The sequence below is a fragment of the Homo sapiens genome, chromosome 10, assembly GCF_000001405.40.
Source record: "Homo sapiens chromosome 10, GRCh38.p14 Primary Assembly".
Taxonomy (NCBI): Eukaryota; Metazoa; Chordata; class Mammalia; order Primates; family Hominidae; genus Homo; species Homo sapiens.
In genome coordinates, this window is record NC_000010.11 from 14,648,653 (window position 1) to 14,670,509 (window position 21,857).

At 41.8% G+C, this 21,857-nt stretch overlaps 1 protein-coding gene, 1 long non-coding RNA gene and 1 pseudogene across 3 annotated transcripts in view, besides 3 other annotated features; 1 reads left to right on the forward strand and 2 right to left on the reverse strand.

The window, feature by feature from the left end:
• FAM107B (family with sequence similarity 107 member B) overlaps positions 1-21,857 on the reverse strand; it is a 256,341-nt gene that overhangs the window by 130,096 nt on the left and 104,388 nt on the right. For both annotated transcript variants that reach the window (NM_031453.4, NM_001282695.2), the window contains exon 2: positions 18,982-19,039. In NM_031453.4, the coding sequence (NP_113641.2) occupies positions 18,982-19,039 (58 nt within the window). The remainder of the gene's footprint in view (positions 1-18,981; positions 19,040-21,857) is intronic.
• Positions 13-1,212: an enhancer, noted in NCBI's record as "MED14-independent group 3 enhancer chr10:14690664-14691863 (GRCh37/hg19 assembly coordinates)". NCBI's record gives its function as "activates an origin of replication core promoter dependent on BRD2, BRD4, P300/CBP and CDK7 cofactors, and independent of MED14, by STARR-seq in HCT116 cells {active_cell/tissue: HCT116}" and the evidence as "EXISTENCE:reporter gene assay evidence [ECO:0000049][PMID:35650434]".
• Positions 40-540: an enhancer, noted in NCBI's record as "H3K27ac hESC enhancer chr10:14690691-14691191 (GRCh37/hg19 assembly coordinates)". NCBI's record gives its function as "activates a minimal SCP1, AML or CMV promoter by ChIP-STARR-seq in naive H9 embryonic stem cells {active_cell/tissue: H9 hESC(naive)}" and the evidence as "EXISTENCE:reporter gene assay evidence [ECO:0000049][PMID:30033119]".
• LOC105376429 (uncharacterized) lies at positions 4,095-11,929 on the forward strand. The gene is made up of 5 exons (XR_930691.4): positions 4,095-4,181; positions 5,182-5,314; positions 6,378-6,513; positions 7,517-7,572; positions 11,284-11,929. It is a non-coding gene; the product is annotated as an uncharacterized LOC105376429 (long non-coding RNA).
• Positions 11,395-11,484: an enhancer, noted in NCBI's record as "active region_3081". NCBI's record gives its function as "activates an Ori minimal core promoter by ATAC-STARR-seq in GM12878 lymphoblastoid cells {active_cell/tissue: GM12878}" and the evidence as "EXISTENCE:reporter gene assay evidence [ECO:0000049][PMID:35858748]".
• RNA5SP302 (RNA, 5S ribosomal pseudogene 302) lies at positions 14,743-14,842 on the reverse strand (annotated as a pseudogene).

A 21,857-nucleotide genomic window follows, 5' to 3' on the forward strand; every position in this document is an offset into this window, starting at 1 on the left:
ACCCAGGTGCGTCGGTGGCAAACAGTGACACACCCACAACCCACATGTAATTTTACTATCAGTTCTTTGAGAATGAGATACTGTTCTCTTCATCTTCAGAACCCACGTCATCTAGCCCAGTACTTTCCACACCATTCTCCAAGTTGGTTTAATTCAAGTTCTTCATTCCATAAATATTTATCGAGGACTTGGTTCTATGTGCACTGCATGGATGCTATGATAGAGATTAAAAAAGACACAGAGACAATTCCCCTAAAGAAGCTTCCTGGTCTTAGAAACACAAACGAGGATGAGGTTTGTCTACAAATAATGGTAACACAATGGCAGTATAAACAACATGGTAGGTTTCATTCGTAAGCCAAATATAAAATTCTAAGCCCCACAACCAGCTGAATGGACCTCTCCTCTTGGCCAAGGGCATTCTAAAATAAGCACACCAGTTCAGGCCATGATGGGAATGCATGATCAGACATGCCTCAGTTTATATTGCTCCCTTTGGAATTCAGGCACTGCTGACTAACATTAGCATTAAAACAGAGACCATAAGACTGACAAAACAGACTCTGCGTAGCAATAAGATAACCACATGACAGACAGCAGGACCTGAAAGAAATCAAGATATTTTATCCCAAAATACATTTCTTTGACACATTTTGAAATGGCACTGCAAAGCTGTCTCTTGTGGGGAAAACCTATGTTTTATAGAGAATTCCCTTTCCTTTCCAGGTCTTTTTTCTGATCTAGGAGAGAATTAACTAAGAGTCTGGCACCTTTTAAAGTCTGTTAAGAAACATTTACCATCTAGTCTCTCTGAAGCCTGCTATCTGGAGGCTTCATCTACATAATAAGAACCTTAGTCTCCACAACTTCTTATCTTAACCCAGACACTCCCTTCTATTGATTCCACATCTTTAGATAATCACTTAACACTTTCAAGCACTTGCCAATCAGAAAATCTTTGAATCCACCTGTGACCTGGACACCCCCCACTTCGAGTTGTCCCACCTTTTCCAGACTGAACCAATGTACATCTTACCTGTATTAATTTATGTCTTATGTTTCCTTAAAGTGTATAAAACCAAGCTGTAGTCTGACCACCTGGGCACATGTTCTTAGGATCTCCTGGGGCTGTGTCACAGGCCATGGTCACTCATATTTGGCTCGGAATACATCTCTTCAAATTTTTTATAGAGTTTGACTCTTTTCATTGGCACATTGTTTGACCATTACACATAATAAGGGCCAGTGGGCACTCAGTGCAGAGTTAGTATTGCTGCTCTTCAGTCATCAGAGATGCAGGCATGTCCTGTGCGTTTCCTCCAGTATCCTTAACACATGGTTTCATCTCTTGGGTCAACACCTGGTCCGAGGTGGCTGCCATAGTATCCTGTCAATGTCCCAGATAGGAAGAAGGAGGAAGGACGTGCTCCCTGGAGGAAGCTTTCCAGAAGCCCCACTTTTGTCAATGCTACATTTGAGGTCTTCCTAGCAAAAGCATGAAAGCCTCTTCACCTGCATTATTGTTTTGGGTTGTAAAATCAGTCTTATTCGCATACAGTTTTTTTTTTTCATTAGGAAGGTTATATAAGCTCATTACAGAAAATTTGGAAAATAAACGAATTCATTCTTAACTCTGATTTTTTTTTTCTTTTGCCATTGAGATGGAGTCTTGCTCTGTCACCCAGGCTGGAGTGCAGGAGTGCAGTGGCATGATGATCTGCCTCCCAGCTTCAAGCAATTCTCCCACCTCAGCTTCCCTAGTAGCTGGGATTACAGGTACCCACCACCATGCCTGGCTCATTTTTGTATTTTAAGTAGAGATGGGGTTTCACCATGTTGGCCAGGCTGGTCTCGAACTCCCGACCTGAGGTAATCCTCCCACCCTGGCCTCCCAAAGTGCTGGGATTACAGGCATGAGCCACCGCGCCCGGCCTCTCGATACTTATTTAAGAGTAACAAATACTTATTGCTTACGTATTGTGCTACGTATTGAGCATTCTGGTTTAGTTCCTCCATTCCATAAAACTATGCATCAGTTGTTGTGTTCTGTACTTACAGTTATGGTAAACATTTTTATATCCTACTTCTTTCTACACAGCATTAAATCATTAGCTTTCTTTCTATTTTGTTATATCACTAAATTTCAAGAAGTCGTATATGCTCATAGTAAAAGTAAAAATAATATTTTTTAAAAACTCAACCATATTCCCTTGCTCTTATGCTTACAATGCACTCTACTCCAATTTTAGGATAAGTTCAGCGTTAAGTGTTAATGATAGTGAAGGAAACTTCTAGCGTCTGAGCTACATCCCAGAGTTCCCCAGTAGGATGAAACTCCAGTCACCAAAAATGATACTCTTCCTAATAAGCAATGCTTTATTGGCCTCTTTCTACTACTGACGCTTCCTGAGACAACCTCCAAATTAAGCAAGCTGTACTAGAATCCTTGTCTCAGGGTCTACTTCTGGGGGAACCAAATTAAGACACCACTTGACAACTTTAGCTAGTATATCATTGGCCAGCCCTATCTATAAGGAGCCTGGGAAATATTGTTTTAGAGCTTGGGCTATAACTGCACTTGACAATATTAGGATTCTCTGGCTAAAGAATATGAATATTGGATAAACATCTGGCCATCTCTGCCATGTGTGGATAAGATATATCCACACATGGCTGGGCGCAGTGGCTCACGCCTATAATCCCAGCACTTTGGGAGGCTGAGGCGGGCAGATCACCTGAGGTCGGGAGTTCGAGGCCAGCCTGACCAACATGGAGAGACCCCGTCACTACTAAAAATACAAAATGAGCCAGGCGTGGTGGTGCATGCCTGTAATCCCAGCTACTTAGGAGGCTGAGGCAAAATTGCTTGAACCTGGGAAGCAGAGGTTGCAGTGAGCTGGGATCGCGCCATTGCACTCCAGCCTGTGCAACAAGAGTGAAACCCCGTCTCAAAAAACAAAACAAAACAGATATATCCACACATAACCGTAAATTATGAGCCATAAGAAGGGGACTGGGGAGATTACTTTTTTGTAGGTACTTAATGACTTCCTTGAGACTGTAGAATTTGACTTGCACCCTCAAGGCTAGGTGGGATTTTAATAGGCGAATAGATAATCTGACGGTGTGTAGGGTTTATAAGAACAGGTAAAGCCTGGACACAGAAAGACAAGTTAGGAGATGATGAAAATGGTTTGGGTGTAAGAGAATAATAACCCAAACCAGAGTGTGATACCAAGACTGGAAAATTAGGAATATGTGTGAGAAATACAGCAAAGGAACTCAATAAGATTCATACAGAGGTGAAGTGGAAAGAAGGAATCCAACATGACCTTGAAGCTTGAAGCCAGGATGGAGGGTAGCACCATAAACAGAAGTTGTACAGTCGGAGAGAAGGGCCAAGTTCGAGGGATGTTTGTTGTCTTTGATTCTACCAGAGTTAAACATAATGTTTTGATGGAGTGAAGTCAGATCTAAAACATAGATATTCAACTTCAAATGTTAAAAAAAAAAAGCAGTGACTCTTATTTCTATACTTCATCTCAATCAAAGCATGACTTTCTATGCACATGGAAAATTCCATGAGCTCACCCTCCTGCAGAGCTCCTTCCTGACAGAAACCAGGAGGGTTAGGCTTTCTAAAGAGCACCAGATCCCAGATCCCTGCTGATAAACTCACTAAGTCAGAAAGATACAAAATCAACCCTCTCACTATAGAGAGAAATTCTCAACTCTGTCCAGATACGTATTGGTTTTTGCAGAGCTGCGGAAATAACGAAAATATAGGGGTTTGGACTCAACCAGGCCTGGACTGAGTCCTGGCTCCAGCTCTTTCTTGCCATGCAACCTTGGTTAAATTAACTTTTAAAGCTTGAGTTTTCTTACCTGCAAAGGGGAGAAAATATAGTACTACTTTCTAGGGCTGTTAAGAGAATTAAGTAAAAAATCCATGTAAAGCACTTAGCATGGCACGTTATGCATTGTTCTAAGTGTTCTAAGAACACTACTTAGAAAATGTTAGCATTGTTATTGCTATAGTATCAAGGGTAGCGTGGATACCAGACGTTTTGTGTTCAGTTGTGAGAAAAGACTATTTAAGGTAATACGCTCCTGAATGTGCTAAAATCAAATACCGCAGCTGGACCAGATTAACTCAGGACACCACCAGTGGACTAGAATTGGTAGGAAACTGAGAAAGTTATAGTCATCCGAAGGAGTTAATGCAATTATCCATTTTCTTTAAGCCCTTTCAGGTTGTTGGGAGAAACCACATACTGTGAGCCCACTTGCAGCATAGCAGTCATGAAACGAATTCAGGCACAGAAAAAAATGTGATGCATGGACTTCTAGAAACATGGCCATCAGGGTTGAGCGTCATAACTGGCCTTGGCTGAACACAAAACCAAGAAGGCAAAACTCGCAATCCCTGAGTAGAGAGAAGGCTCCATAAATGTTGAATGAACACATGGACAAATTACACTTGTGACCTAATGGTCCACTGCCACGGTATTTACAATTAAGGCCAAATACTAGAATCAGGCCTTTGCAAAATGTGCCCTGACTTTTTGAGTCTTAGAACTGTTCTGTTTCCATGGCTCAGAAAAAGCCAAGGGCAGTTTGTTCTTTTTATCAGTTTCTCCTTGGAGAAGAAAGCTGAAAATTTCCATGATTACCATGCACACTGGAGTTATGCTGATCGAAATCTATCTAAAAGGTGCCAGGCACACAGCCAGGCGGGCAAATGCTCTCAAAGGCAATTTCACATCACCAGCCTTGCTGAGCAAGAACAGAAGCTGTTCTTCACTCCAGCCTCTCAGGAGCACACAGTGGCCTCTCAGTTCCCCTTTCAAGGAAGAGCTCTGGGAGAAAAGCCCATGGTTCGGGAACTTTTCCTGAGACCTCTAAGCACCTGTGCCATCATGGTGCAAGCTAGAACTGTTATTTCTAGCTGTGCAGCCACAGTCATCCATGTGGTTCCATTTCCTTGGTGGCAATGCACAGTTGCAAAATATTTTGTAATTATTCATTACTGAAATCACAAAAATGCCCCTAAAAAGTATAGTATTAGCCTCTTATACACAGTAAAATGTAACCGCGGGAAACTTCAGGGAATTGTGTAAAGATCACTGGGTGAGGTAACGCCCACAAGCTTGAGGCTAGTGTTTTCTCCTGTTTCCATAGCAATGACCCCACACGATCTTACCTGCTCCTCAGACCACAGCCAAGGAAGAGATTTCTGACAAACAAGCAAAAACACAACACTGTCCACACAACTGTAAATATGCAAGGAAGAGTTTCTTCTTGCCTGAAAACTGTAAGGTTTATTATTTGTTTGTGTTTCTTCCTTTCATCTCATATTTCTTCTAACGTCATAAGCCTGGCATTTAAACCCCAAATGCCTGCAGGGGCCAGGCAGGATAGGGAGGTACCAGCTAAAAAGGCAACTCCAGTTGATTTTTTTTTTTTTTCCACTGCTTAGGAATGCAGGCCTGGTTTGGCTAGTTCTTACAATTTCTCAAGAGAAATTGGAACCTAGATTTTTACATGAAATTTTCCAGTTTTTAAACATTGGCAACCAATTTTCAAAAAATTTGCAAGCCACAAAAACACATCTACAGCTGAGTTTGCTCTGGTTGTAACATCAGTCATAAGCAGTTGAAATAACCTTTCGGGTCTTCAGAATTACTTCCTATTTTCTGAATATCTGTGTGGAATATAGACCGCATATTAACCCTAATTATTAATTACAGCTATGCATTAATTCATTAATGAAAGCCATAATTCATTGGAGAAAGGTCTTTAGTAACATATTGCTGTTGCGTTTTATTATCTCTTGCTCTCATCATCTCTCTGTGGTGAAGGATAAGAAATCAGAGGTGATCTTAGCTAGTTTCGTTTAAGACTCTTAGCTGTTGTTTAAGGCTCAAAACAAAATATCTGATTATGTATTCCATTTTGCACAGAAACAAACAGCATTTAATCCAAATATTTTGGCCCACATAGGGTAATTCAAAAATAAATGATTTTATGATTTAAGTCCATTCTTACGCTCAAATAAGCATGTTCAAGTTGAGTTGAAATACACCAGTAACTAAGTAGATATGCTTTGCGATAGTCAACTTCAAGGTGAAAAAATCCCGTTCCCTTTTACTAATCATTAAAATCATTAAATGCCCCTCAGTGGATGCATAGAACACTGTGTTCAGAAAAGGTCAGAGAACTGTGTTCAGAAAAGGAATTTTAAGAAGCTTGAGAATGCTACCATTTTAACCAGTCTGTGGGGTAGTGTCTCAGTTCATTCTGCATTGCTATAAAGAAATACCTGAGGCTGGGTAATTCATAAAGGAAAGAGGTTGATTTGACTCATGGTTCTGCAGGCTGTACAAGCATGGCACCAGCATCTGAGGCAAAAGGGGAGCTGGCATGTGCAGAGATTACATGGCAAGAGAGGATGCAAGAGAGAGAGAACGAGGTGCCAGATTCTTTAACCGTCAGATCTCATGGGAAATAAGGGTGAGAGCTCCGTCAATCCATCAAGATTGACACTAAGCCATTCATGAAGAAGGATCTGCACTTATGACCAAAACACCTCCCTTTAGTCCCCACCTCCAACACTGGGGATCAAATTTCAACATGAGATTTGGAGGGGACAAATATCCAAACCATAGCAGTAGTAAGTAGTCAAAGAAGATAGTTTGCATTTAGTGTTTTAATTATTTTTGATAGGGTTTTCTTTTCTTTTTTTTCTATCTCAGCCTCACAAATATTTTGTTTTGTTTTGTTTTGTGACGGAGTCTTGCTCTGTCGCCTAGGCTGGAGCGCAGTGGCGCAATCTTGGCCCACTGCAACCTCCGCCTCCCAGGTTCAAGCGATTCTCCTGCCTCAGCCTCCCGAGTAGCTGGCACAAACGTTTTAAAATATGTTATGGTTGTGTTCAACACAGTGACTGTGCCAAGGGACCCTCTCTTAGTTCAGGTTCCCTTAGAAGTAGACCCTGAGGCAGGGATTCAGGGAGAAGCAGTTCATATGTGAAGGGAACAGGAGGAGAGGTGGGAAGCCGGGACAGGGGAGGGAAAGCAGCCACCACAGGATTTATGCAGCTGGCTACTCCTGTAGGGACTGAGGCTTAACCCTCCTGGGGATCCCTGGGAGCCAGCTCCACAGCTACCTACCCTAGGGAAAGTGAGCTGCAGTATTTATTCACAAAGTCTGATCAGGGATTGGGTGACAATTACTCCTCAGGGGCTTGAGGCAGGTTCTGGGGTGAGAGGAAGCCTTTACAGAGAGGCATGCAGGTGCCAGAAGTGGGGTCACAGGCACTGAAGTGAAGGGCAAGGGGAGAGGGGCTGGGTGCTGAGTGTCGGCCATGCACTCCAACTTCATCAGCTCCTCCTCCCCATCGCTGATATAAACAATTGATATTTTCTCATCTTCCATAAAGCGCTGTGCAGGAACGACTTTAGGACAAGTCCTTTAATGTCTTTTCAACCTGTTCTGGCCCCTGTGCTCCTCCTAGATACAAATTCTGGAGCAGCAACTGATTTACCAGGAAACACTGAGGAGTAGAGCAAGGTAAGGTGGCTCCTACACCACTCCGAACCAGTGTGGGGCATGGGGGCGATAAAGAGGCTGACTTCACAGGGAACTTCCAGGGCCAAAATTTCACTTCATTTGAAGGTTTTCAGGAAAACATGGGTAAATTGCAAAAGCAACGCCAACAATTACCATCTTTGAGATTTGAAAACTTTGGATTTTCTCTCTTGGGAGGCTTTGTGACCACCAGTTGAAATTTCTAGATGACAATTTCCACCTTCCATGTCATCAGAATGGAAGGAGAGGTGCACTCCAAGGAGACAAGTGACTGGACATTCGGGTTCCTGGCATGCAATACAAGTTCTTCTTTTTATACCAATGTGGGGGAAGGAAGTGAGAAGTAAGAAGTGGGTAGAGAGATTCCTCCAGGATGCAAACAGTTAAAGATCATCACTTTACTTCTGATTTTGGATGTTAATGTCACCTTCAGAATTCCTCCTTCTCTAAGAAATTTTTACAAAGGGCCAACATTAAATTTTAAACAAACAAATAAGAAAATAGTAAAAGAAAGTGAAAGAGTGTAGAAACGCAGCTTGCAGCACACACAAAAAATTAGGCAATTCTGCTTCAATTTGTGCACACTGAAAATTTCATTCCTGGTAACCGGTAACTGGTTCACCTTACAACCTGGGCAAACTTCTGGAAAGTTCCATGCCTCCATTCCCACTGTGTTAAGAGGACATAGGATTGGATGGAGAAGAATAGGTCATACTAACTAGACTACTGAGGTGTCCCATGGGCATGTGAGCACAATGTCAAGGCTAAACAGCTTGCTGCACAGGTGCAGCTCAGCTCCTCTTTAAGGCACATGTGCCCAGTCCATCAACACCACATCAGGCTCACCTTGAATACAGAGGACTAAATCAAACCCTCATTTTAGGTATTTTTGTATTTTCCCATTTATGAACAATAAATGATCTGTTAAATTTCCTAAACAGAAAAATCTGGAAGCAATTTGCTCTCTGCCCATGTAGAGAGGGGAAAGCACAGACTGCTCTCCAATGACTCTGAGGAGGATGAATGACAGGGTTTCCAAACCCTGAGTGGTAACACCACTTAACAGATTCGGCCTAGGAGGGTGCTTTGTACTTGGAAATCCTATCTCATTAGCCTGACACCTTCTCAAGGCAAAATGGCAGAGGACTGGACACAGATTGGCACATCTTGAAATAGGCAGGCCAGGAAGTCTCGTTCACTTCAGACTAGGAGCATACCATTGCTGGCCTTACCCTCCCAAAGACAGACACCTCCAGCCCCAAATCTTCACCCCCACCCCTGGTCACCAGAGAAACATCTCCTTGGATTCCAGGGCAATTTCCACAGACTTAGCATGTGGAAATAAATCTAGAACCTAGATGGAAAACCAACCAACTTTCTCCTACTTACACTTAATAATGCAAGATTTATAAATGAGTTCTAGAAACATTTTCTCTTTGTTAATATATATTACAGCCCGTGGCCTCTTGTTCACTGGTGTTTTAAGTTCTTGGAACAGGGATTGTATGACTTTCATGTCTATGTTCTTCTAATAAACCTCCAGCAACAAGCATGTTGCCACCTTCACTTTTTTTTTTCCTTTTTTTTGAGGCTGGTCTCACTCTGTCGCCCAGTCTGGAGTGCAGTGGCGCGATCCCAGCTCACTGCAGCCTTGGCAGCCCAGACTCAAGAGATCCTCCCACCTCAGCCTCCCAAGTAGCTGGGACTGCAGTCACACACCACCACACCCGGCTAATGTTTTCTCTTTTTTTGTAGGTTGGGGTTTTGTCATGTTGCTCAAGCTGGTCTCCAACTCCTGGGCTCAAGCAATCCACCCACTTCGGCCCCCCAAAGTGCTGGGATTACAGGCGTAATTAGCACCTGGCTAACCTTCATTTCTTGGGAAGAATTTATACGACAGTGAAAATCCAATTACTATTATTTGAAATAGAGACAAAATGTTGAGATTCTTTAGACTAAAATACAAGCTATGATAGTTGAGTCCCATAAAAGAGTTTAGAGGTCAGGTCTTCACTGAAAGTCATCATCTACAACCCCCAGGAGCATTTCCCCTAAGAAAAGACTTCCTGTGACCCCACAGACTGTCCTACGGTTAAGGGAACAGAAAGAAAGTAAACTCAGGACAAAGGAAGTCTATTTAGCATCTTGAAGGCAAGACCCATGTCTGACCCATGTCTGACTCATCTTTGACTCTCCGTGGATTAGCATGGTTTGCTTTATATGTGTTAAGTACCCAAATAAACAACAGTTTTTACATCAAAAGTCACGTTGTAAACCAGACTCAATCATTCATTCATGCATGCATACTTTAGTCAAACAACCATTACTTTTCAGTTCCTACATAGTCCAAGAATTGTGCGAGGAGCTGGGGGCAGAAAACAAAGAGAAAAAGACGCAATTCCAGTTTCTGACTCATCTGCTTCACTTGATTTAGCCAAAAGGCCAAGAAGTGATTGATTCATCTACTTGCTTCAGCAAGTTTAAAAAGAGCAAGGGTTCATTCCCCATTTAATAAATATTCACTGAGTGCCTCCTATATGTCAGGCTCCATCCTAGGCATTCATTATGTTTGCAGCAGGACAAAAAATGGTCAAACATCCCTGCCTTCATGATGCTTACCTTCTAGAAGGGGACGACAGACAAAAAGCAAGTGAATTATATAATGTGTGGATAGTGACAAGTGGTTTCAAAAACCAAAACAAACAAGGAAGTAAGAGTTGAAGGAAAGGTTGCAGTTTTGCAGAAAGTGGTCAAGGAAGCTCTCACTGAAAACAAAGACCCAACAGAAGGAGCTGTGCAGACCAAAAAGTCCCATAAAGAGTCTGGGGACCAGGTCTTCACTAAAAGTCCTCTACTATCCCCAGTAGCATTTTCCGTAATTAAAGGCCTCCCATGAACCCTCAAACTGTCTGCCCTGGCTGGGCACGGTGGCTCACACCTGTAATCCTAGCACTTTGGGAGGCTGAGGTGGGTGGATCACCTAAGGTCAGGAGTTTGAGACCAGCCTCACCAACATGGCAAAACCCCGTCTCTACTGAAAATACAAAAATTAGCTGGGCATGGTGGCGCGCACCTGTAGTCTCAGCTCCTCCGGAGGCTGAGGCAGGAGAATTGCTGGTGGGGAGGGGGCAGAGGTTGCAGTGAGCTGAGATTGCCCCACTTCACTCCAGCCTAGGTGAAAGAGCAAAACTCCGTCTCAAAACAAAACAAAACAAAACAAAACAAGCAAACAAAAAACTGTCTGCCCTAAGGTTAAGGGAATGGAAAGAAAGCAAACTCAGGATAAGTTTCCCTTCTTTTTTTCTCACCTTCCTACCTCAACTGTTTTCTGTTCATCTGTGGCCAAAGACTCAGAAAAATCTGTATGGAAGATAAACAACTCTTGCACAAAATCAGAGGGGTGTGTGACTGAGATATAGTGGGTTCTGGTGGAAACTGCACTGTTGACTGTTCTCCCACGACATGAAAGTAAAAGCAGACACTTTGTCTGAATTGTCAGAAAATGGGTCTCGTTTTGTCACCTCCTAAGATGCCCAGCAAGGAGATCTGAACTCCAAGTGTCATGGACCTTCCCGCAGAGGGGCTGGCCTTATGTGCGCAGCAACAAGGAACTGCTCAGTGGAACCCCAGTCTCACTTCCCCACAGAAGTTACAAAAATACTTATTTTTTTTTCTCATTTCATCCATTTTTAGGTAAAGAATTTTAACTGTTTGGGGTTCGTTACTTCACACTTAAGAAATCTACAAACCACAGGAAATGAAACTTGACTAAATGCAGATGACACAGACAGCCAACTCCGAAAATGTGCTGGGCTCCACTCAGTTCTAGGTGACCTTTAGCAAAAAGAGGGTGTTCTGATGAAACCCTTTGACCATAACCAACAGCCTCCAACTTACAGGATTCTCCCCTCGTATGACCAAGTGGTGTAATCTTTGAGGTCCTGGCAGCACAGGTTGAGTGCAACCTAAAAGAGAATGAGGATTCCACAAGGTCTTCTGGAATGGTACACTTATTGGAAACTTGTTTCAGCATTCAAAAAAACCTGGCCTGTTTCTAAAGCAATGCATGGTTTAAGAGGAATGGCAAATTGAAGCCAACGTTTTTCAAACACATTTCACTTAAAAAAAAATGGCCACTAGAAAGAATGCAACTTATTTTCAAAAAGAATTATCTCAAGAAAGCATGGTTGGCCCATTCATCCATCTCCCTGCCCACAAGGGAATGAATGAATGAAGACAAGATGTGCCACCTCTGAAAGACTGTTAATCTCCCTCTCTCTATAAAAGTGGTACTATGTAATTTCTACTCATTTGGTTACAAATAAAATTAGTAAGTGAAGGATCCGTAGTTTCTGTATGTCACCTACAAACCTGAGTCTTTGTGCTAAAATTGTTCAAATATTCAATTGAATCTTATTCAATACCAATGCTTTTGTATATTGCATGTGGTATATGTGCATGGTGCTTGGCTTATTCTGAGAGCCATTTGGTGGAATAAGAAGAGAGTAAATGAAGCCTCATTCTAGAACTTTCTTTCTAAAGTAAAAAGGCAGAGCAACCCATAGAAGGCTCTAGAAAAGGAACACATACCATGGAAAGGAAAAAGGAAAGAGATGCTACCCAGGTCATGAGGTTTGGATTTGTGTCCTTCCCCAAACCTCATGTCAAATTGTAACCCCCAATGTTGGAGGAGGGGCCTGGCAGGAGGTGACTGGATCATGTGAGTGGATTTTCCCCTGTTCTTGTGATAGTGAGCTCTCACTAGATCTGGTTGTTTAAAAGTATGTAGCACCTTCCACTTCGCCCTCTTCCTCCTTCTCCAGCCATGTAGGACCTGCCTACTTCCCCTTCACCTTCTGCCACAACTGTAAGTTTCCCAAGGCCTCCCCAGCCACGCTTCCTGTACAGCCTGCAGAACTGTGTTCCAATTAAACCTCTTTTCTTTATAAATTATCCCGTCTCAGGTAGTTCTTTACAGCAATGCAAGAACGGACTAATTTACCAGAAAAGTGTGATGGTTGATTCTCTGTGTCAAATTGACTGCGCTAAGGGGTGCCCAGATTAAACATTATTTCTGGATGTGTCCAAGACAGTGTGTCCAGATGAGTTGAACATCTAAATCAGTAAACTCAGTGAAGCTGATCACCCTCCCCAGTGTAGGTGGCCATTACCCAATCTGTGGAGGGTCTGAATAGAACAAAAGGGGAAAGGGGGAGGAATTCTCTCCTTCTTCTTTCTGTGTGACTGATTGAGCTGGGACATCAGTCTTCCCTGCCCTTGTTCCAGAACTGACACCATTGGCTCTCCTGGTTCTCAGGCCTTTGGACTTGGACTAGAATTTCACCACTGGGGCTCTTGGATCTCGAGTCTGTAGAGGGCAGATCGTGGGATTTTTCAGCCTCCAAAATCATGTGAGCCAATTCCTCATAATAAATCTCCTTCTATATCTATGTCCCAGTGGTTCTGTTTCTCTGGAGAACTCTGACTAGTTCAGGAAGAGAATGATTTTGGTTTGGCAGCTGCTGAGAAATGAGGCATAAGCCCAGGTGAGAACAGGTAAACCAGTGACTATCCCTGTCCTCAGCAACTTCGAATAACTGGCTCACCCTCAGAGAGTCACATAGTGAGGCTTCAATTTGTGCCTTCTCGCTGACATGCAGTTCTCTCTGTCTGTGGCATTGTGGCCTTTCCCTTGTCACTATTAGTAAAGGATCTTTGTTTTAGTCTCTATTATCAGAACAGCATCCTGACCACATCATAGGAACTCTTAAGTATGGAAAATTTTCCTCTGCAGAGTCTCCACCCAATGTATCACCATTACCTCATTCTTCCTTCTCCCTATGTGGAGTTATAAACATAGCCCAGGTTCAGTTTTTTACATGTTCTTTATTTTTGCATTGAATATTATATAGAAGGGATTGCAACGCATCTTTAAAATGGCACCTTGCAATAAAGAACCTCACCTCACTTTTAAATAGACATAATCCCTGCTTTTGGGGAGCACACAGTCGAACGGAGTCTTCATTGACTGCTCCCATCATTCAGGGCCTTCTATGCTCAGGTGGAGAAAGTGACCAACCACGCTGTGTAACTGCTGCTGGAGGCAATTCTCCCTTCATCTGACCTCTGACCTGTCTTTTTTTTTTTTTTTGGAGACAGGGTCTCGCTCTCTCACCCAGGCTGGAGTGCAGTGGCACAATCATGGCTCATTGCAGCTTCGACCACCTGGGCTCAAGTGATCCTCCCATATCAGCCTCCCCAGTAGCTGGGACCACAGGCATGCACCACCATGCCCAGCTAATTTTTTAATTTTTTTGTAGAGACTGGGTCTCACCATGATGCCCAGGTTGATCTCTGTCCTTCTTTACCTGTTTGTTGATGTTTAAAATCCCTTTCATAACCAACACATCTTCTCATTTCATAAGTAGATCTGAGGCTTAACATACCAATAGGCTGAGAGAGGTGACACAGTGCACCAATGTGTATGTGCCTGAGTGCATGCCCTTCTGATGATAGAGAAACTGGGAAGCGAAGGTGTAGAGGAGGGAACCCCACTGTGATGGTTAATATTGAGTGTCAACTTGATTGGATTGAAGGATGCAAAGTATTGTTTCTGGGTGTGTTGGTGAGGGGGTTGCCAACGGAGATTAACGTTTGAGTCAGTGGATTAGGAGAGGCAGACCCACCCTCAATCTGGGTGGGTACCATCTAGTCAGCTGCCAGCATGGCTAGAATAAAAGCAGGAAGAAGAAAGAGGAAAGAGTAGACTTGCTGAGTCTTCCGGTCTTCATCTTTCCCCCATGCTGGATGCTTCCTGCCCTTGAACATTAGACTCAAAGTTCTTCAGCTTTTGGACTCTTGGCCTTACACCAGTGGTTTGCCAGGGGCTCCCAGGCCTTCGGCCACAGACTGAAGGCTGCACTGTCGGCTTCCCTACTTTTGAGATTTTGGGTTTGGACTGGCTTCCTTGTTCCTCAGCTTGCAGAAGGTCTATTGTGGGACCTCACCTTGTGATCATGTGAGTCTATACTCCTCAATAAATTCCCCTTCATATATGCATCTATTCTATTAGTTCTGTCCCTCTAGAGAACTCGACTAATACACTCACTGAGGAGGCTTGGAACATAGAAAGTGCAGGTGTGAAAAGAAGGTAAACTTCGTCTCCCCCATCCAAGTACTAACCAGGCCCAACCCTGCTTAGCTTCCGAGATCTGATGAGATTGGGTGCGTTCAGGGTGGTATGGTCGTAGACGGTAAACTTCATCTCCCTGCAGAATCTGCCCAGCACTTCTCTTGCTGAAATGGGGTACCCATTGACAGCAAACCACAATGCATCACATTAAAAGGAAGTTCTTATAAATGGGCTAATGTATCCATGAAGCTAGTATATCCACAAAGTGACAAGGAAATGCTACCTGATTCCGGGAAAGGCACTAAGGTTCCATCTTTCAATCACCTACTAAGAAAGGCCTCCAATGTATACAGACACAATTATCTGAGGGCAGAAGACAGTAACAATGGTGGTAAGGACAGAGCACACTCCTAACTCGTCTGTCATTATCACGTGGGTGGCTCCTACGAATATGAATACAAATTATAGAACTCAGGATGAAGTGTCAGATGCCCAAGAATTAGATCATCAGCCAAAAAAAAAAAAAAAAAAAAAAAAAATGGGCTGAACTCCAAGCAAGTATCACTTGGAATCCAATTTACAGTATTTGGGTTTTGCTTTATAAACACCCTGGCTGACGTGTCTCCCTTCACAAATGAATTTCATCTCTGTCCTTCAAGGCCCAGCTCTTATGGTGCATTCTCTTGAAAAACTTCCTGGATTCCTCCAGCTGGGTTTCTTTCACCTCCTTAGTGCTCCCTGGCCCCCTACTTATGTCTCTGTTTCAGCACATGCTGTATTCTACCTTTTCTCCTAGCTCTCTGTGTTCATGTTTTAAAGGCTCTATTTGACTGAAGCTCTGTGAAGGCAAGACTTCCATAGTATCCTGCTTTCTCTAAAACTTACATTTTACTATTTAAAGGCTACCATTTCTCTATAACTCACATTTTATTTGTCTAATGGCTGTATTTCTCACTTTCCATACATTCCATGAGGGATGGAGTCAAGTCTGTCGTATTTACCACTCTAAATACAGTCATGTGCCATGTAACAATGTTTTGGTTAACAGCAAACCACATATACAACAGTGGACCCATAAGAGTATACTACTGTATTTTTTACTGTACCTCTTTTATGGTGAGATATGTTTAGATACACAAATACTTACCACTGTGTTATAATTGCCTACAATATCCAGTGTAATAACATGCCATACAGGTTTGTAGCCTAGAAGCAATAGGCTACATCATATAGCCTCAGTGTGTAGTAGGTTATACCATCTAGGTTTGTGTAAGTGCCCTCTATGATGTTCACACAATGACAAAATTGCCTAGTGACACATTTCTCAGAATGTATCCTCCTCCTCATTCTCAGATTCTTCACTATATAGCATAATTCCTATTACAATATCTAGCACATAGTAGACATTCAGTAAAAGTTTTTTGAATGAATATAGTATATGTTCATACTTTTCAAATAATTTAGCAGACACAACTTACACCTAACAGGATTTTAAAGAATGGTTAATCAATATGGGAGATCTGGATAGAATGAACTACAACTAGAAACACAAGTACACCCAAAGCAAGATGCAATGCAAAGACACACATTTAGGAATAAATCCTGAATAAAGAAGAGGAGCTCTATAGCAAGCCCCAAAGTCTGCGGACCCAAGCATTTTTAAGAAATAATGAGAAACTGCATTTTCTGCTTGAAATTTCCAGTTAGACAACAGCATTTTTAGGTGTTTTTGAAGAAGGGAAAGTAATAAGCCTTTTATTGTGTCAATAATGTAAAACCATACCTGCTGATCACAGATAAATTGGGATTCTAAATGTCTACCTACACTTCATTTGCTCTTTTCTGCAGATTTATTTTGAGGGAGGTGTCCAACTCCAAATGCATTTATTGAGGGAAATCTTTACCACTTTGCTGAATCTCTAGTAACACATACTGAGGGCCTAAGGAGCTGGGAACCCTAGCAGAATTTTTCAGAATGGGATGTCTAATTTCTCACCCTGAGGTGTCATAAAAGAACTCAGTAAAGTCATCTCATTTCTTAGCAAGTCTTTAGTGAGTAATGATGTCCTCCCAACGTGTGTGAACAAATGTTCTCAGAACATAGTGGGCACTATGCCAAGAGAGCAAATAAAAGCATTTATAACAGCAGCTGGGAAATTCAAAGCCTTTGAGTTGGCTGAATTTGCATTGATGCAGCAATGACCATCCTCCCAGCCTTCTTCTCTGGCTGAGAAATGAAAGATCAAGGGTAAATGTGCAAAAGTGGTACTCAGAGTCATTTTCAAAGGTATGATATGTAAGCTCCACCACTGCCCCTACTATGCCCCTATTATGAAAGTAGGCTTTCAAACTCCAATCTTCATTACAAGTATCATCAACCCCAAGGGGCCTTGTTTGATCCTGCTTCCCAGTGCAAATTGAATTGCTCCTTCCTCAGTGTTCCCAGCAGAACTTTGATTATATAGATATCTTCACATGATTTCTCATATTGCGAACATAATTTGTTGTCTTGAGGGCAAGTGCCATGTCATATTTTTTTTCATATCGCAGAAATCTAAAATAGCATAGTGTTGGCCTATGTCAAACCTACCCCACCTGTACCCCCACTACAGACAGTAAGAGAGTGTCTTGCCCATAATGGACATGAGGGAGTCACTTAACAAAAATTTACTGAATTACTACTATGTATCAGGCACTGTCCAAGGTGCTAGGGATGCCATTAAACAAGACTGGTAATGTCCCTGCTCTCTAAGAGACAATATTGTAATAAACCACAGATTAACAGAAAGATTATTTTGGATTGTGTATTAGGCCATTCTCATGCTGCTATACAGAACTGCAAGAGACTGGGTAATTTAAAAAGGAAAGAGGTTTAATTGACTCACAGTTCTGCAGGGCTAGGGAGGACTCGGGAAACTTACAATCATGGCGGAAGCAGAAGGAAGCATGTCCTTCTTCACATGACAGTAGCAAGGAGAAGTGCAGAGTGAAGTGGGAACAGCCCCTTATAAAACCATCAGATCTCATGAGAACTCACTCACTATCATGAGAACAGCATGAGGGTAACTGCCCCCATGATTAAATTACCTCCTACTGCGTCCCTCCCACAACACATGGGGATTATGGGAACTGCAATCCAAGGTGAGATTTGGGTGGGGACACAGAGCCAAACCATAACAGATTGGAATGAGAATCATGAAAAAAAAATGTGTAATGGGATGAAGAGTGATTTGGAAGAATGCCAAGATGGTTGGGAACGTTTTCTCTGGGACAGGACATTTGAACTGAGCCATCTGTACAAGGATCTGCAAGGGGACAGTGTCTCAGGAAGAGGCACTAAATTAAAGCAATGTTGGTAATTGATGGGGGTACAGGGAACTTGGGAGGAGATGGGAGGAGATAGTATAGAGGGAAAGGGTGGAGCTGATTAATTGCTCATTGTGTCTCCTTCATCTATACCAGAGTAGGGTGCTACTTTTCCTCCCACTTTGCATACTCTTTTCATTACCACTTCCAATTTCTTAATTCTTCTCCCTAATTTCCATTAAAGTACAAGAACATGAGCCTTTGCCAGCAGCAAACACGTCTGGAGCCATCTTCTAACACCGAATCACATAAAACACCAAACTAAAACTAAAAGCCATTGGTAAATAGAGGCTGAGAGTATTAAGATTTAGCTTTCATTATTATTAGGCCCATTCAACTAATGTTTATTTTATGACGATTACATCTCATTATCATTACAGATCACAGTCATAAACTAAGTTATAAATTCACTCGTCATTTATTTCTTTCCTCATTAACTCATAGGGCGTCCTATTGTGGCATAAATCACTTTAGCGAAGCTGCATACTTGACCATACACAAACATAAAAAAAACCCCAGCAAACTTATCTAAATAATGTTTTCCAAGATAATCATAAATATTTCAGTAAATAATGATACTTCTTAGTTTAGCGTTACTGAATTTGAAATTTTTTCATCATTATCATCATCTACTTCTTTGCAAGTGTTTGTTCATCAAGAACTGTAATCAATAAAAGAAAGAAGACAAAGAACAGAACGAGCTATTTTCTGCATCACAACCAGATTGTCCAGATGTCGTGCCTGGAATATATCACACGTGACATTTCTAGTCATGTTTCCAATCATTTGGAACATACAGGTTTTCCTTTGCAATCTGAAAAGCCTTAGGATGCTCCAAGCACTTCTGTCAGCAACAGCAGCCTGGAAAAGGAATCACACAGAATGTACTCTACCTGATGTCATTTTCTGCTCCAGCTCGAGGCATTTAGGTTCTTCTCGAAATTCTTCTTCCTAAGCGCCAGCCCCATAAACCAGAAAAGCAGGGAGAAAGTAAAAATATGCATTAATGTAAGGCAATACTTTTTGCAAGCCTACTAATTAATATGAGATCAAGACTTGAAAAACTTAAACCACACCTTAAAGAACTGAGGTTTTGGACAAGCTACTACAAATCAACAATAAATGCCAAGTAGAGTAGAGTAACTACAGGGGCGTTGGGTGACACAACTCCAGGGTGCTATTCACATGGTAGTGTCTATGCATGTTGTCCCTGGAGTGGTGCAACCCAGGGGCCCCCTGTGACTAATATATTTGAAGGCACCCGTGACTTAGAAATGATGGTGACGGGGTTTTTTTTGTTTTTTGTTTTTTGGGTTTTTTTTGGTGGAGTCTCACTCTGTCACCAAGCTGGAGTGCAGTGGCACAATCTCGGCTTACTGCAACCTCCAACTCCCTGGTTCAAGTGATTCTTCTGCCTCAGCCTCCTAAGTAGCTAGGATTACAGGCATGCACCACCAGGCCTGGCTGATTTTTTTTGTATTTTTAGTAGAGACGGGGTTTCACCATGTTGGCCAGCATGGTCTCGATCTCCTGACCTCATGATCTGCCTGCCTTGGCCTCCCAAAGTGCTGGGGTTCCAGGAGTGAGCCACCACACCAGGCCAGGTTTTTCATAAAATAGAAATGCCACCAGCATGGTTGAACAAGGAGAATTATGTTTTGTTTTTCATCACTCAAGGAACTGATTTCATGTACTTTCGAAAGTTCCATCATTATTCACAGTTATATTTTTATCTCTAAGAAGGTAGGTGTACACATTCTTGTCTGAGTCCTGGTATGATATTCTTTAATGACAATGGTTGTCACTGCCGTGACACTGATAAAAGTAGACCCCATTAGAAATGAGGGAGATAAATTAAGAGGAATATCTAAATGATCCTTTTCTAATTTTGCCTGCAAGATGACTTTACGCCAATTAATTTATTTGTTTTTCCCTTCATTAAACAAATATTTGATGAGTGTCTGCTACGGGCTATTTCTGTGGGATCTTAACCTTTAGGCAGGATACCTTCTAACATCCCTTGAATTATACTGCAGGAAGTTACCTACTCAGCTTCCTTCCTAGCCTGGCAGGAAGGCTACTGTGCTTACTTTGTTCTTTCTAAGAATTTAGCCCAATAGAAGATATGCTAGACCATAATAAAGTATATGGGTGTAGGGTTCCATAAATAAAAACTGGGGCTATTCTATAACCAGAGTGAAAAAATTGAATTCAAAAACTGGTATTATTCATTATAGGAATACTGTCTCAAATTTGCCCTGAGTTTGCCAGTTCTTGGTAATATCTCACCTGGATTAGAACCCACCAGACTCTAGAGCTCAGGTAGTAAGATAAAGAAAGGTCCAGGCCAGTTGTGGTGGCTGACACCTGTAATCCTAGCACTTTGGGAGGCCGAGGCGGGTGGATTGCCTGAGCCCAGGAGTTCAACACCAGCCTGGGCCATATGGTGAAACCCCATCTCTACAAAAAATACAAAAAAATTAGCTGGGTGTGGTTTTGCCTGCCTGTAAATCCAGCTACTCGGGAGGCTGCGGCAGGAGAATCACTTGAGCCTGGGAGGTGGAGGTTGCCGTGAGCTGAGATTGCACCACTGTACTCCAGCCTGGGCCACAGAGCGAGACTCTGTCAAAAAAAAAAAAAAAAAGGAAGAAAGAAATGTCCTTTTCGAAGGAAATCAGTATATCAAAGGGATATCTGCACGCCCATATTTATTTGAGCACTATTCACAAAGATATGGAATCAACTATCAACTTGAACATCCATCGCCAGATAAACGGATAAATAAAGAAAATGTGGTAAATATACACAATGGAATACTATTTGGCCATAAAAAAAAGAATGAAACTCTGTCATTTGCAGCAACATGGATGAAACTGGAAGTTATTAAATGAAATAAGCTAGGCATGGAAAGATAAATATCTGTTTGCCTTTCTCATATGTTCTTATTCTTGTTGCATGTTCTTACTCATATGTGGGAACTAAAAACATTGGTCTCATGGAAACAGAAAGTAGAATGATAGTTACCAGAGTCAGGAAAGGGTGCGGTGTGGGGAATGAAGAGAGGTTGGTTAATGGTTACAAACATACAGCTAGATAGAAGCAATACATTCTAATGTTCATAGCAGAGCAAGGTGACTACAGTTAACAACAATGTATTGCATATTTCAAAGTAGCTAGAAGAGAGAACTTGAAATGTTCCCAATACATAGAAATCATAAATACTTGCATAATGGATATCCTAAATGCCTTGACTTGATCATCACACATTCTATGCATGTAAAAAAAATCACAAGTACCCCATGAATATGTAAATATTATGTATCAATAAACATGTTTTTAAAAAGAAATGTCTTTCTTAATTCATAAAAACTGGTTTCATTAAATTGCCATAATTATCAACTTAGAAGTGAATTGATTTCACCTGTGTTGGGAACAAATGTTTTTCCAGAGATCAAAAATCATCTCCAAATATTCATCATCAGAGACCATTTCTAAAAATGTGTCCTACTTTTAAAACCCATAGAATAGTATTGGCATAAGCAATTTGGGTAAATAAGGCCTCAGTTCAATTATCTCAAATGTATGTGTTGTAAGAAATTTTAATGAAAATTGCCTCCAAAATTACATATTTGAAGTGGGTATGAATTAATAGTATACCAAAGAATGTGTAAATAACAGAAAAGCCCCATCACACAGCAAATAAATGCAGTAAGTCATTTCTTGTTTCACAAGGCCTGACAGAACAGTATATAATGAAAACATGAGGAAT